Source organism: Homo sapiens, chromosome 3 (genome assembly GCF_000001405.40).
Source record: "Homo sapiens chromosome 3, GRCh38.p14 Primary Assembly".
Taxonomy (NCBI): Eukaryota; Metazoa; Chordata; class Mammalia; order Primates; family Hominidae; genus Homo; species Homo sapiens.
The window spans coordinates 144,293,980-144,309,171 of NC_000003.12; the positions used below are offsets into that span (position 1 = coordinate 144,293,980).

General features: G+C 36.7%; 1 long non-coding RNA gene across 2 annotated transcripts in view; it reads left to right on the plus strand.

The window, feature by feature from the left end:
* The window catches only part of LOC105374140 (uncharacterized), a 266,957-nt gene that overhangs the window by 75,986 nt on the left and 175,779 nt on the right, over positions 1-15,192 (plus strand). Inside the window, exon 3 of one of the 2 annotated variants that reach the window (XR_007096124.1) lies at positions 10,741-10,825. The exons of the other annotated variant lie outside the window; for it this stretch is intronic. This is a non-coding gene — a long non-coding RNA (uncharacterized LOC105374140). The remainder of the gene's footprint in view (positions 1-10,740; positions 10,826-15,192) is intronic. 2 annotated transcript variants of the gene reach the window in all.

Genomic DNA, 15,192 nt, shown 5'->3' on the forward strand with positions numbered 1-15,192 from the left:
ATTTGGTATAATTTTGTCTAAATTTTTAGTTGGTTTTGGTGGGAAGCAAGCTGATTTGAATTACTACCTTGTGGCCAGAGTGGAAATCTAACAGATATATTCCTTAAGTAAAATGTAGACAAACTTTATCACAATACTGTTCATTTCATTCATGTTTAGTGGATAGCTATTGTATTTGGGCACTTGTTAGGAGTTCTTGGTGCAGGTTCTATTATATTGTATACAAAATGAAAACATTCTCATAGTTCTAGATTATTCATTTTACTATTTTTATCAGAAAAGATCTTAAAAGAAAGATTACAGCTAATTTTTACATAAAGAAAAAACTCAGCATCAATTAAATATTAATATAAGTTGAAATAATCTGTTGTATACTCATCAATATTTAATCAAGATTAACCCAACTAATAGGTAGAGCTTAGGTAGTTATATAAGGGTGCATTTTTCAGCTCACTTATGCTAATGATGTCTTTGGGTTGGTGTTATTATTAATATTTAATCTTTTTTACATTAAAATGGAGACATTTATTGATTTGTTTTTAAGATAGTAAGCAGCATTAAAGAAAGTACAGCTTAAAATAGTTAAAATGACCCAAAAATTTTAATGACAATTTTACATTTATGGCTAAATGAAAATGAATAGTTTTTAATAATTAATTCACTTAAAAATGTTTGCTTAATAATTCATCAAAATTAAACAGATACAAGGCTAACTGGGATCTGGGAACCTTGTAAAATAAAGTAATGCCCCTTTATCCTTCTCGAAAAAGTTGTGATCCTAATAAAACAGTGGTTTTGTTCTTCCCACACAGGCCACCTTTCCATTCTGTCACTTCTCAGTGACAATGTGTCAATTCTCAGTATTACTGGTTTGTGTGAATTCAAATTTTGGTTCCACTAAAAATATTTTCAATAGACAGTCAGAGAAATATGACCTATTTACCTTCTACTTAGAGAGGGGAAATATGACCTATTTACCCTCTACTTAGAGAGGGTAAATATGACCTATTTATCATCTACTCAGAATCAGTATCGTAACATATTTTGGTGAGGTCAAATGTTCTCACATAATTATAAATATTAAAAGGTAAAATTTTTAATATTTCAACTTTAAGAGACATTACATTAAAGCCCTTCTATGGATAAGAATAACCAATCACACACAAAAAAAATCAAACACAAATAATTTATGCTTCAAAGACAATTCTTTTAGAGTACATTCTTTTTCCCTACATTAGAAGTTATAGATGATAGAGTCTTCTCTGAGAACCTGTACAGGGCCAATCATAAGAAAAACAGTTTTCTTAGGCTGGCATCTTTCCTGCAGTAAGACCACTTGTTTGTGATGAGAACAAATGTGGTTGACAAAAGTGACAGGTCCTGACTAATAACTAAAGCAAGGAAGTTTCATTTTAACTGACAACTCAGAATATTTATACTGCAGTTTCTTGTGAGATTTAATCATGAACTGACAAAAATTTAGCCTCTGCCAGTGTAACCTAAGGAATCTGACATTTGAAAGAATCTAACTGATAAGTTCAATATCTCACTATTTAAAATGATCCCCTATCTTAATTCAGATCCTGTGAATGTCAGTCTTTAGACCCCCTTGTCTTATTTTCCCCAACCAACTGCTTTCGTTAAATTTTGCTTTAACCTTATGCTTGCTGTTTTTATAAAGGGTGGTCTGAATGGAATTTTTGTGTTTTCTAATCACATAATTGAAGCGATGTGTTCTGATGTGCCTTCTGCGTGTTTTCATGTCATAAATTCCTGCTTGAGTTTAGTTCCAGGAAGTAACAAAGACTGTAGAGACAAATCTGTGTACTTTTGTTTGTTAGATAATGAAAAGAATGTGGTTCAACATGTTATTCTTTGTGTTCTAACTGGCAGAAAATTTGGGGCTCAGTTCAGTGTCCAACCAAACTGTCACCCATTGCAAGAAAAGAGTAATATCTACTTGCCTTTGGCCCATTTGTATGATTAAAACTATGTTGTATTCCTAATTGGTCTGCCACTGCAGTCTTCATTTTTGACATCATCTCATTTTTTTTTTTCTTAAATCAAGCTATCCATTTGTAAGCTACTAATTTCTTTCAGTCATTTTCCCCATAAACTTTTTGTAAAGCATCAGTGATTTCACCATTCTTCCACCCAAGATTCACTATAAATTTGGTGATTTCTCTTACTTCAACTTTAGTAAAATTCATAATGTTCTGATAAGAGCTTTTTTCAAATTGATGTCTTATTCTTGTTAGTACTCCAAACTAGATCCTGTTATAATATGGTAATATTAGCTGGGTGCGGTGGTTCACACCAGTAATCCCAGCACTTTGTAGGACCAAGGTGGGTGGATCACTTGAGCCCAGGAGTCCGAGACCAGCCTGGGTAACATTGCTAAACCCCATGTCTATAAAAAAATACAAAAATAAGCCAGGCCTGGTAGTGCATGTATGTAGTCCTAGCTACTTGGGAGGCCGAGGTGGGAGGATCACCTGAACCTGGATAGTTTAGGCTGCAGTGAGCCGTGATCATGCCACTGTACTGCAGCCCGGATGACAGTGAGAGAGACTTAGTCTCAAAGAAATGAAAATAGAAAAATAAAAACATGTTAATACAAGTTTATTTTGGTGCAAAAATATTTTGATGCAAACAATTTTGAAGTCCATGTATAGTTTTTTCATAATATACATTTTTCATGAACTTTTTGAAGACTCCTTGTGTATGTGTATGTGTATGTGTTTGTGTATGTGTGTGTGTGTGTGTATTTGATTCCAAATATTGGCTACCATAAATGCTGCAAGGAATCTGGAAGTGCAGATACCCTTTATATACTCACTTTATTTTCAGTGGAAATATACTCAGAAATGAGATTGTTAGGTCTTATGATAGTTTCATTTTTAATTTTTTCAAAAACATTCACACTGTTTTCCATAATGGTTATTCTAATTTACATTCTCACCAGCAATATATGCAATATATAAGGGCTTTCTTTTCTCCATCTCCTTGCCAAACTTGTTACTTTTTGTCATATTGATAGTTGCTATTTTAACAGGTGTGAAATGAAAATTCATTGTGGTTTTAAATTGTATTTCCCTAATTACTAATGATCTTGGGCATTTTTTCATATACCTGTTGGCTCTTTGTCTTTTGAGAAATTTGTCTTTAGATTCTTTGCCCATTTTTAAATCAGATTATTTGTTTTCTTATCATTGAGTTGTTTGCATTATTTGTATATTTTGGATATTAACTCCTTATCAGATGTTTGACTTGCAAATATTTTCTCTTACTCTGTAGGTTGTCTCTTCATTCTGTTTATTATTTCCTTTGCTGTGCAGAATTGTTTTTGTTTGAAGCAATCCCATTTTTTAAGTTTTATTTTTGTTGCCAATGTGTTTGGAGACATACCCCCAAAAATCATTACCCAGAACAATGTCAAGAATCTTTTCCCCTGTTTTCTTCTAGTAGTTTTACAGTTACAGGACTTACATATAGCTATCCAGTCATCTCAGCATCAGTTAAGTTTTTAACACATTTTGAGTTGATTTTTGTATATGGTGTTATATAAGGGTCAAATTTTATTTGTCTACATATAGCTATCCAGCCATCTCAGCATCATTTATTGAAGAAACTTTCTCATTGTGTGTTCTTCACCCCGTTGTCAAAGATCAATTAGCTGTAAATGCCTAGATTTATTTACAGGCTCTCTATTCCACCTGTTGGTCCACATGTGTGTTTTTTATGCCAGTAACATGCTGTTTTGGTTACTATTGCTTTGTGTACTATATTTTGAAGTCAGGTAGTGAGAAGCCTCTAGCTTTGTTCTTTTTATTAAAGATTGCATTAGCAATTCAGGGTATTTTGTGATTCCACACAAATTTTAGGATTTTTTTCTACTTTTGATATTGGTATTTTGATAGGGATTGCACTGAATCTGTAGATCACTTTGGGAATTATGAACATTTTAACGATATTAATTCTTCCAATACATGAACATAGGATATCTTTCAACTTGTTTGTATCCTCTTCAATTTATTTTATCAGTGTTTTGTATTTTGTATTGTAAAGATTTTCACCTTCTGGTAAAGTATATTCCTAAGTATTTTATTTTTTTGATAGCTATTGTAAATGGCATTGCTTTCTTAATTTCTAGTTCAGATAGTTCACTATTATTGGCATATAGAAATGCTACTGATTTGTGTGTTGATTTTTGTATTCTGAAAATTTACGAAATTCATTTATTCAAATAAGTTTTTATAGTCTATTAGGTTTTCCATATATAAGATCATGTTGTCTGACAATAGGGAAAATTTGACTTTTGTGTTTCCAGTTTAGATGCTCCTTATTTCTTTCTCTTGCCTAATTGACTAGGACCTCCAGTACTATGTTAAATAACATTGGTGAAAGTGGCCATCCTTGTCTTTTTCAACTTTTCCCCATTCAGTATTGAACTGTGAGTTTGTCAAATATCTCCTTTACTGTGTTGAGATGTGTTTCTTTTATACATAATTTGTTGAGAGTTTCTAGCATGAAGGGATATTAAATTTTATCAAATATTTTTATTTCTGTGTATTGAGATAGGTTTTTGTCCTTCACTCCATTGATGTGATGTATCATGTTCATTGATTTGCATGTGTTCAACCATCCTTATATCCCCAGGATGAACCCCACTTGATCATGGTAAACAATCTTTTCTGATGAGCTGTTGGATTCGGTTTTCTAGTATTTTGTTGAGGATTTTTGCACCTATGTTTATCAGGCATATTGGCCAGTATTTTTCATCTTCTATGTTTTATTCTGCTTTTGGTATCAGGGTAATGCTGGCCACATATAATGAGTTTAGAAGAATTCCCTCCACCTTAATTTTTGGAATAATTCAATAAAAATTGATGTTAGTTATTCTTTAAATGTTTTCTAAAATTCAATCATCGAGATCCTGGGTTTTTCTTTGATAGGAGATGTTTCATTACTTAATCTTATTGCTTTTTATTGATCCTTTCAGGTTTTGTTTTTCTTCATGATTCAAGAAGTATGAATCTGGTGGTTGTATGTTTACAGGAATTTATTTCTCATAGGTTTTTCAGTTTGTTTGTATATAGTTGTTACAAATAGTCTTTAGTGATTCTTAATATTTCTGTGGTATCAGTTGTAATGTTTCCATTTTAATCTTTGATTTTATTTGAGTCTTCTCATTTTTTCTTAATCTGGCTAAATGTCTGATGATTTTGTTAAACCCAACTTTTTGTTATATCTTTTTTGTATTATTGTAGTCTTTATTTTATTTATTTCTGCTCTGAACATTATTTCTTTACTTTTACTATTTCTATTTTACTATTTTATATTGCTTATTTCCTTAGGTTCAACATTAGGCTGTTTATTTGAGCTCTTTCTACTTCTTTTTTTTAAATTTAGCCATTTATTGCCATAAACTTTTCCCTTAGAACTGCTTATGCTGTATCCCATAGGTTTTGGTATGTTGTATTTCCATTTTTACTTGTCTTGAGATATTTAAAATATTTAAAACTTTTCTTCTCTTTTTTTTTAATGGCCTATTTGTTGTTTCAAAGCATGTTGCTTAATTTATATGTATTTTTACAGTTTACAAAGTTTCTTTTATTATTGATTTCTAATTTTAGGCCATTGTCAGAAAACGTACTTGATATAATTTTGATTTTAAAAATTTGTTACAACTTGTTTTGTAGCCTCACATATGGTCTGTCCTGAAGAATGTTCCCTGTGCTGTTGAAAAAAAAAGTGTATTCTTCAGATGTTGAAAAGACTTTTCTGTAGGTAACTGTTAGGACCATTTGATCCAGAGTGCAGTTTAACTCCAATGTTTCTTTGTTGATTTTCTATTTGGATGATCTGTATGTTGCTGAAAGTGGGATGTTAAAATCACTTACGATTATAATATCGCAGTCTATCTCTCCCTTTAGGTCTATTTCTATTTGCTTTATATGTTTAGGTGCTCCAGTGTTGAGTACATATATAATTGTTATACCTTCTTGCTGTATTACCTCCTTAATTATTATATTATGGCCTTCTTTGACTCTTCTAACAGTTTTTAGACGTCCTCACTTGGTCTAATTTTGTTTTTACAGGTGAAGTGAGTTTCTTGTAGACAGCATATAGTTGCATCTTGCTTTTCTTTTTTTTCATTCAGCCATTTTATGAATTTTACTGGACAATTTAATCCATTTACATTCAAGGTAATTATTTTTGGGTAAAAATTTATTCCTGTCATTTTGTGACTTGTTTTTTAGATCTTTTCTTTCCTTCCTTTCCTTCCTTCCTTCTCTCTCTCTTTCTCTTTCTTTCTTTCTTTGTTTCTTTCTTTCTTTGTGTCTTTCTCTCTTTCACCGTCTTTGTGGCTAAGTGATTCTCCAATAGTATGTTTTGATTTATTGCTTTTTACTTTTAGTGGATTTATTATAACTTTTGCCTTGTAGTTACCACGGGGATTACAAAAAGACCTTATAGTTAAAATAAGTTATTTTAATTTGGTAATGACCTAACTTTCATTACACAAGAAAAGATAAAAATTCTACACTTTAACTCCATTCCACTTCATTTTGTATATTTGATGTCACATTTTACATCTTTTCATATTGGCTATCCATTAACGAGTTAATATAATTGTATCTAATAGTTTTGCCTGTTAGGGTTCATACTAAGATATAAGTGGTTTATGCAGTACAATTACAGTATTAGAGTATTAAATTAAGTATAACTTGTTTGTGTACCTATTTTCCCAATGAGTTTTTAACTTTCGGATGTTTCCCTGTTACATATTAGAATCTTTTTCTTTTCATTAGTTTGAAAAACTTCCTTTAGCATTCCTTGTAGGACAAGTCTTGTTGAAATTAATTTCATCTGCTTCTGTCTCCTTGGGAAAGTATTGAACTTGCTTTTATCTCCAGAGGACAGCTTTTTTAGGTACAACATTCTTAATTGGCAGTATTTTTGTCTTTTTCTTCCCATTCAGTATGCTGAATATATTCTCCCACTCCCTCTTGCCTGCAGTGTTTCTTCTGAGAAGTCTGCTGCCAGGAGTATGGAAGTCCCTTATATGTTATTTGCTTCTTTTCTCTCACTGCTTTCAGAATCCTTTGTCTTTGACCTTTGAGCAATTCATTGCAATCTGTGATCAGGTAGTCTTATTTGGGTTGAATTTGTTTATTTTTTTAAACCTTTGTTTAAAAAGTTTAACCTTCCTGTACTTAAGAATTTATATCTTTCTCTTTGTTTGAAGGAAGTTTCTGTTATTGTTTCTTTGAATTAGTTTCGTACACCTTTGTTTTTCTGAACTCTCTTCTCTTTATTTTTGGAGACAGGTCTTACTGTGTTGCCTAATCTGGCCTTAAATTCCTGGGTTCAAGTGATTCATTTACCTCAGCCTCATGAGTAGCTGTCATTACATATGCATGCCACTATGGCTGAAATCTCTCTTGAACTCCAATAACCCATATATTTTCTCTTTTGATGTTGTTTTGTAGATCCCATAGGCTTTTTGTTTCTTTATTTTTTCTCTTATTTTCTAACAGTTTGTCTTCAAGCTCACTTATTCTAACTTCTGTTTGATCAGCTCTGCTGTTAATGCTCTCTCACATTTTTCATTTCATTCATCAAATATTTCAGGTCCAGGACTTATTATTATTATTTTGATGTGTTAAATTTCTCCAAGTTTCAGAATTCTTTCTGTATGTTTTCTTGAAATTTGTTGAGCTTCTTTAAAACAGCTATTTTGAATTTTTGTCTGATAGATTACACATCTCCATCACTTTATAGTCAGCCTCTGAAGGCTTATTCTGTCCATTTGGTAAGGTCATATTTCTCTGAATGTTCATGATGCTTTTGGATATGTAGTGTTGTTTGTGCATTGATCAATTAGGTATTTATTCCAGTCTTCACAGTCTAGCTTTGTTTGTGCCTGTCCTTCTTCAGAGGACCTTCTAGAGATTCTAAGCAGACTAGCTGTTATGTTCCCTGAGTTTGTGACCACTACAGCTGTCTCAGAGCTAGAGGAGGCTTTAAGCCCAGGAGTGACATGAGTCTCTGGGGATTCTGAGGTTGACATGGCTTTTTAGCTCATATAGACCTGAGAGAGACCTAAGGACAGTACCTTGGCTGTGTGAGAAAGCTGGTCTGGGACCTGACCAGTTGGTCCCAGTGTCCCAAATGGGCATGCATCTCAGTAGCACCCTGTATTAGTCCGATTTCATGCTGCTGATAACAACATACCCAAGACTGGGAAATTCATAAAAGAAAGAGATTTAGTGGACTTACAGTTCCATGTGGTTGGGGAAGCCTCACAATCATGGTGAAAGTCAAGGAGGGGAAAGTCATGTCTTACATGGATGGCAGCATGTGAAGAGAGAGAGAGAGCTTGTGCAGGGGAACTCCTCTTTATAAAACCATCAGATCTTGTGAGACTTATTCACTATCATGAGAACAGCATGGGAATGACTTATCCGCATGATTCAATTACCTCTCACTGGGTCCCTCCTACAACATGTGGGGATTCAAGATAAGATTTGGGTGGGGACACAGCCAAACCATATCATTCCACCCCAGCCTCTCCCATATCTTATGTCCTCACATTTCAAAACCAATCATGCCTTCCCAACAGTCCCCCAAAGTCTTAACTCAATTTCAGCATTAACTCAAAACTCCACAGTCCAAAGTCTCATCTGAGACAAGGAAAGTCCCTTCCATCTATGAACCTGTAAAATCAAAAGCAAGTAGTTACTTCCTAGATACAATGAAGGTACAGGCATTGGATAAATGCACCCACTGCAAATGGGAGAAATTGGCCAAAACGAAGGGGCTACAGGCCCCAAGTCAGTCCAAAATCCAGAGGGGGAGTCAAATTTTAAAGTTCCAAAATCATCTCCTTTTATTTCACGTCTCACATTCGGATCACAATGATGCAAGGGGTGGGCTCCCATGGTTTCAGGCAGCTCTACCCCTGTGATTTTGCAGGGTACAGCCTCCTTCCCAGCTGCTATCATGGGCTGGCATTGAGTTTCTGTAGCTTTTTCAGGTGCATGGTGCAAACTGTCGGTGGATCTACCATTCTGGGGTCTGAAGGACAATGGCTGTCTCCTCACAGCTCCACTAGGTGGTGCCCCAGCAGAGACTCCGTATGGGGGCTCTGACCTCGAATTTCTCTTCCACACTGCCCTAGCAGAGGTTCTCCATGAGAGCCCCACCCCTGCAGCAAACTCCTGCGCGAACATCGCAGCATCTCCATACATCCTCTGAAATCCAGAGAGAGGTTCCCAAACCTCAATTCTTGACCTCTGTGCACCTGTAGGCTCAACACCATGTGGAGCCTGCCAAGGCTTGGGGCTTGCACCCTCTGAAGCCACAGCCTGAGCTGTTTGTTGGCCCCTTTTAGCTATGGCTGGAGTGGCTGAGATGCAGGGCACCAAGTCCTTAGGCTACACACAGCAGGGGGACCCTGGGCCCAGCCCACAAAACCATCTTTTCCTCCTAGGCCTCCAGGCCTGTGATGGCAGGGGCTGCCATGAAGACCTCTGACATGCCCTAGAGACATTTTTCCCATTTTTCTTGGGGATTAATATTGGGCTTCTTGTTACTTACACAAATTTCTGCAGCTGGCATAAATTTCTCATCAGAAAAAGGAATTTTCTTTTCTATTGAATTGTCAAGTTGCAAATTATCCAATCTTTCATGCTCTGCTTCCCTTATAAAGCTGAATGCCTTTAACAGCACCAAGTCACATCTTGAATGCTTTGCTGCTTAGAAATTTCTTCTGCCAGATACCCTAAATCATCTCTCTCAAGTTCAAAGTCCCACAGATCTCTAGGGCACGGGCAAAATGCCACCAGTCTCTTTGGTAAAACATAGCAAGAGTTATCTTTGCTCCAGTTCCCAACAAGTTCCTCATCTCCATCTGAGACCACCTCAACCTGGATTTCATTGTCCATATCACTGTCAGCATTTTGGGGAAAGTCATTCAACAAGTCTCTAGGAAGTTCCAAACTTTCCCACATTTTCCTGTCTTCTTCTGAGCCCTCCAAACTGTTCCAACCCCTGCCTGTTACCCAGTTCCAAAGTTGCTTCCACTCTTTTGGGTATCTTTTCAGAAGCACCCCACTCTTCTGGTGCCAATTTACTGTATCAGTCCATTGTCACACTGCTGATAAACACATACCTGAGACTGGGAAATGTACAAAAGAAAGAGGTTTAATGGACTTACAGTTCCACGTGGCTGGGGAAGCCTCACAATCATGGTGAAAGGAAAGGAGGAACAAGTCATGCCTTACATGTATGGCAGCAGGCAAAGAGAGAGAGAGCTTGTATAGTGGAACTCCTCTTTTTTAAACCATCAGATCTTGTGAGACTTATTCACTATCATGAGAACAGCATGGGAAAGACTTACCCCATGATTCAATTACTTCCCACTGGATCCCTCCCACAACATGTAAGAGTTCAAGAAACCATATCACACCCTGCATGGTTCCTCAACTGCAGCAAGAAGGGCTGGAGCCAATACTGGGCCCCCTCAGGGTATACTATGAGACAGAAGCTGGTTAGTCTGTCTCATTTGTTTTGCGGGTAGACATCTCCCTACAGGTTCCTGTACATAAAGGATAGTTTCCTGACTGCAATGAGAATGGGGAGAGCTGAGAACTCGGCTCCCTCCGGATCTTCTGTGGGATGGAGGCTGGTGATCCTGTCTCACTGGTTCAGCAGGTACTTCTCTCTTCGCAGGTCCTTACATAAGAGTCCTCAACTACAGTGAGAGGGGCCAGAGCTGAGACTGGGCATCTTGGGATCTGTTGTGGAATGGACACTGGTGAGCCTACCTCATTAGCTCAAATGGGAGTGCCCCTTCAAGCATGTTTCTGCACAGGCAAGATAGGTCTCTGACTGTAGCATGAAGGGCTGGAGCTATGACTGGCCCCCCTTGAGAACTGCTCTGGGACAGAGGTTAATGAACCCATCCCCTCTCTCAAATGGGTACACATCTCTCAGTATGTCCCTGCACAGGTGGGGCAGGTCTCTGACTGCAGTAAGACTGGCCAGAGCTGAGATTGGATCCCCTAAGGATATGCTGTGGAATGGAGATATGTGAGCCTGTCACAGAGGTTCAGACCCTCAGGCATTGAGATATGGTCAAGTTTACCTATGGGTCCTTTGGCAAGCAGTTCTAAGCTAGGACCTCAACTGAGAGGTCTGGAGCCATGCTACAGGAAAACTTTCAGGCCTCTGCTGAGACAAATGTCAGTAGGCACCTGAAATTCTCCACTGAGGCACTAGTGTTTGTGATTACTGCTGGACCTCTTGGCAGATGGTTTTGATTATAGGCTTGAGGACAAATGGGGTTGTAGCCAAGCTATTTTAGAAATGGGACTGTTTCTGGGTTTGAGCCTGGAAGAATGATCAGTGGGTCTGCTAGTTGGATGCTGCTCTTGCATTCCAAATGTCCTTCATAGGTCTTGGGTGTCACTGGAATTTCACAACTTCCTACCTGAATCCTGAAACTCCCACAGAGAGACTTTTGTCTGTGGATGGGTACAGAATTCTTGTTGTGGGGAAATAACCAGGTTGCCTCCCATTTCAACTTGCTGGCATCATTCCAGCTTTATTCTTTATGCTCACGATTTTTCTGCTACTTGGGATCTTTTGTGAGCTTTTATGGTTTTATACAAATTAAAAAATGTTTTTTCTATTTCTGTGAAAAATGCTATGGGAATTTTGGTGGAGATTACTTTGACTCTATATATTGCTTTGGGTAGTATGGATTTCTTAATAATATTCTGATATCTTTCCATTTGTGTCATCTTCAGTTTCTTTCATCAGTGTTTTATAGTTTTCAGTGTGTAGACATTTTACCTCCTTGATTAAATTTTCTTTAGTATTTCATTTGTTTATTTGATGCTATTATAAATGGGTTTGTTTTTATATTTCTTTTTTGCATAGTTTGTTGTTATTGTACAGAAATGCTGCTGATTGTTGTATGTTGATTTTATATCTTATAACTTTACTAAAATAGTTTATTAGTTCTAACAATTTTGGGGAGAAATCTTTAGGGTTTTCTATGATTTCTAAACTCATTGCCATCTGGAAACAGGATGTTTTTACTACTTTCTTTTTAATTTGGATGTCTTTTGTTTCTTTTTCTTGTCTAATTGCTCTGGCTAGGACTTCTAGTACTATATTGGTAGAAGTGGTAAGAGGGAGCACCCTTGTAATAGTTCTTAAATGTTGTGGTGGTATAACTTTAGGACTATTAGTTTCAAGATCATGTCCTGTTTTAAACTGAGATATTCCTGCCTCTGCCACTAGACACAGGATTATTTTAGAGATAAGACATGCTTGGAGGTGCATCTTCTATATGTTTTAACTAGTAGGCTTGGCATCTCCTCAAAGTGATTCACATTTGGGAAGCTGAGAGAATGCAGCATCTGTCATGAATTAGAAAAGAAGTGGTCTTCTCAGTATATGCTGCTTATGAAACAAGCAAATGACTGGTCTACTGTATATTAGAGATCCTGGGCTCTAGCCTCACATCTGCTTCACTCACAGCTGATTGCCCTTTAGCAAATCACTCCAGCTTTCTGAGCTTCAACATGGTATTCTACTAAAATGAGGAGTTTGCTTTTCTAATGTGTTTGTTATCTCCCAAGTTGCATGATTCTATTTTAGGGGTCAGGCCTGCAGTATTTTAGATATTCACAAAGGCAGAAGCCGCTCATTTCTTGCTGAACTGAGAAACCATCTACAGTTGTCCCACAGTATCTGCAAGGGGAATTGGTGTCAGGGCCCCCTGCAGGTACCAAAATCCATTAATGACCAAGTTTCTTGTATAAAATGGTATAGTATTTGCATATAACCTATGCACATCCTCCTGTATACTTTAAATTATCTTTAGATTACTTATAATACTTAATAAAATGTAAATGTTATGTATGTTATCTAAATAGTTGTTACACTGTATTATTTTTATTTGTATTATTTCTAATGGTTGTATTGTTATTTTTAATTTTTTTTAAAAAAACTTTTGATCCACAGTTGGTTAAACCACAGAGGCAGAACCCACAGATACAGAGAGTTTGCTGCATTGTTAGTCACTTTTTTCTTTTTGGTGAATTAGGTTAAATAAGGTCCCTGTTTGTCTTTTGTCCTTATTTGAGGGCACACATTCTCAGAAAATCTGCAGTGCTTTAGGTTTAAGGGCTGGCAGTATTGAGACTTCCATTCACAGCCAGGTAGTTTTTGTGAGTTTATAACTTAGTTTGCTGAGACAAGTGACATGCATAATAGAATTGCCACATATTTGTATATGAGATCACTGTGTCTGCCAGCTGAGTTCAAAATGAAGAGAGCAAGACTGCATTTCACCACCTCTGCAAAACAGAGGGTGATTTTGTTGCTTTTAAAGTTTACTGTGTACTGACATACAAGTGTGAGATAGAGCAACATTTTATGCACAACCAGTAATATATCTGGGTTTAAAAAAACAAAACAAAAGGAATAACTGTCTTGTTCTTGATGGTGCCTGACAGATAAAGTGTTAGATATTTTGGAATGAATTAAGAAAGCTGTTTTCTTTTTCTGGTCTTTAATAACATTCTTTTTGCAGTAATCAAATGAAAGAATGAATTTAAACTAAAAGAACAAATTCCCAAACCAACTTTATTTTCATTTCCTGCCTTCAATGTCTAATCAACTCCACTTGCTTCTCTTTCTACCTCTTTCTAGTTTCTCCCCTCCAGTGAGTATATTTAAAAGGATACCATTTTCTTTTTGGGGAGAGGGAAGAATGATGAATGCAAGACTGGAGTCAGGGTGGTCAATTAAGAAATGACTGTGGTTACAATAACCCAGGTAAGAAGTGATGAGAACCTCAATGAGGACAGGGTCAGTAGGAATGAGGAGGGAGCAGTCTTGAGAAATACCAATGAAGCAGAAGGTCTAAACTAAGTGACTAGGAGAAATCCAGCAAGGTTTTTATCTTCTGACTTGAAGGATTAAGGATTTGTGGTAGCATCATCAACCTGCAGAGGACAGCAGGCTTGGGGAAAGATTGTGAAGTCTGTTAAGAAAACATGATTTGAGCGGCCTGAGGCCTCTTTAAGTTGTGATGTCAAAGAAATAGTCGAATACGTAGGTCTGTTGCTTAACAGAAATTTGCAATACTATGAGCTTGATAATATTTCTATTTTTAAAGCCAGGAGAGTGAGTCAAAGAGGTCATTTACTTAGGAAAGTAAATTTACAGTAGATGGCAGATTGGGCACTAAAAGTCATATGCATTTTGTCCTTTCTTTAAACAGCTGCAGTGAGTCTTTAAAACAAATGCCTAGAAAGCTGTCTGAGCATTCAAAGCTTTTTCTGTGAAAAATCTATATTAGAGTATCTTCCTGTCATCAAAGAAAACCATGCATGAGAAAAAGAAGAGTCTGGAAGAAGTTTCAATGTTAATATATAATGACATTTCACCTACGTCTCATCTATTCTCTTTCAAAATGTGGACTCCTTGCCCTAGAATCAGCACACATGCTAAAAACATAGGCTTTGGATGGGATCTGGGAGGCACGCAGACCTTGACAATTCTGGCGTCTGCTGATTCTACTTCCTATCAAATAAACCATGTTTGTTTGATGCTGTGGTTCCTGTGGTTATCACTCAGATAGGGGGCCAGAGAGTTTATAAGCAGAGGAACTGGACTCTTCTATTCTAGCACTGTTGGTGACCAGATGGCTTCACTTTCTTCTTTTTCTTTCCTCTCCAGACTCCTTCCTCATCAACTTTTTTATTTTTCTTTCTCCCAAAAGCAAATCTGCCTCAACCCCAGCACTGATTGCTAGTTTCCTCCTCGGCTAAAAGCTTTTAACCTGTTTACTCTTTGCTCCAGCTAACCCAGAGAAAGTGAGAACCCTGTGCCAGGTAATCCCTGATCTTGACCAAGAAGCTAACAGCTGTGAGAGGAAAATATCTTTGGGCGCCTTTAACCTGGAAACTGCTTGGGGCAAATATGCCTCCCATTCCATTCAAAATCATCAGCTATAGGCAGAGAGGGTCCAACAAAAAGTCCTTATTCCCACCCGAGAAAAATTCTATGCCCTCCCCTGGTTACACAAGGACTTGCATATCAGGACTGCCACGTGTTTAATAGAACATTAGATCACTGCCATTATACTTGAAGAGATGGTTACAG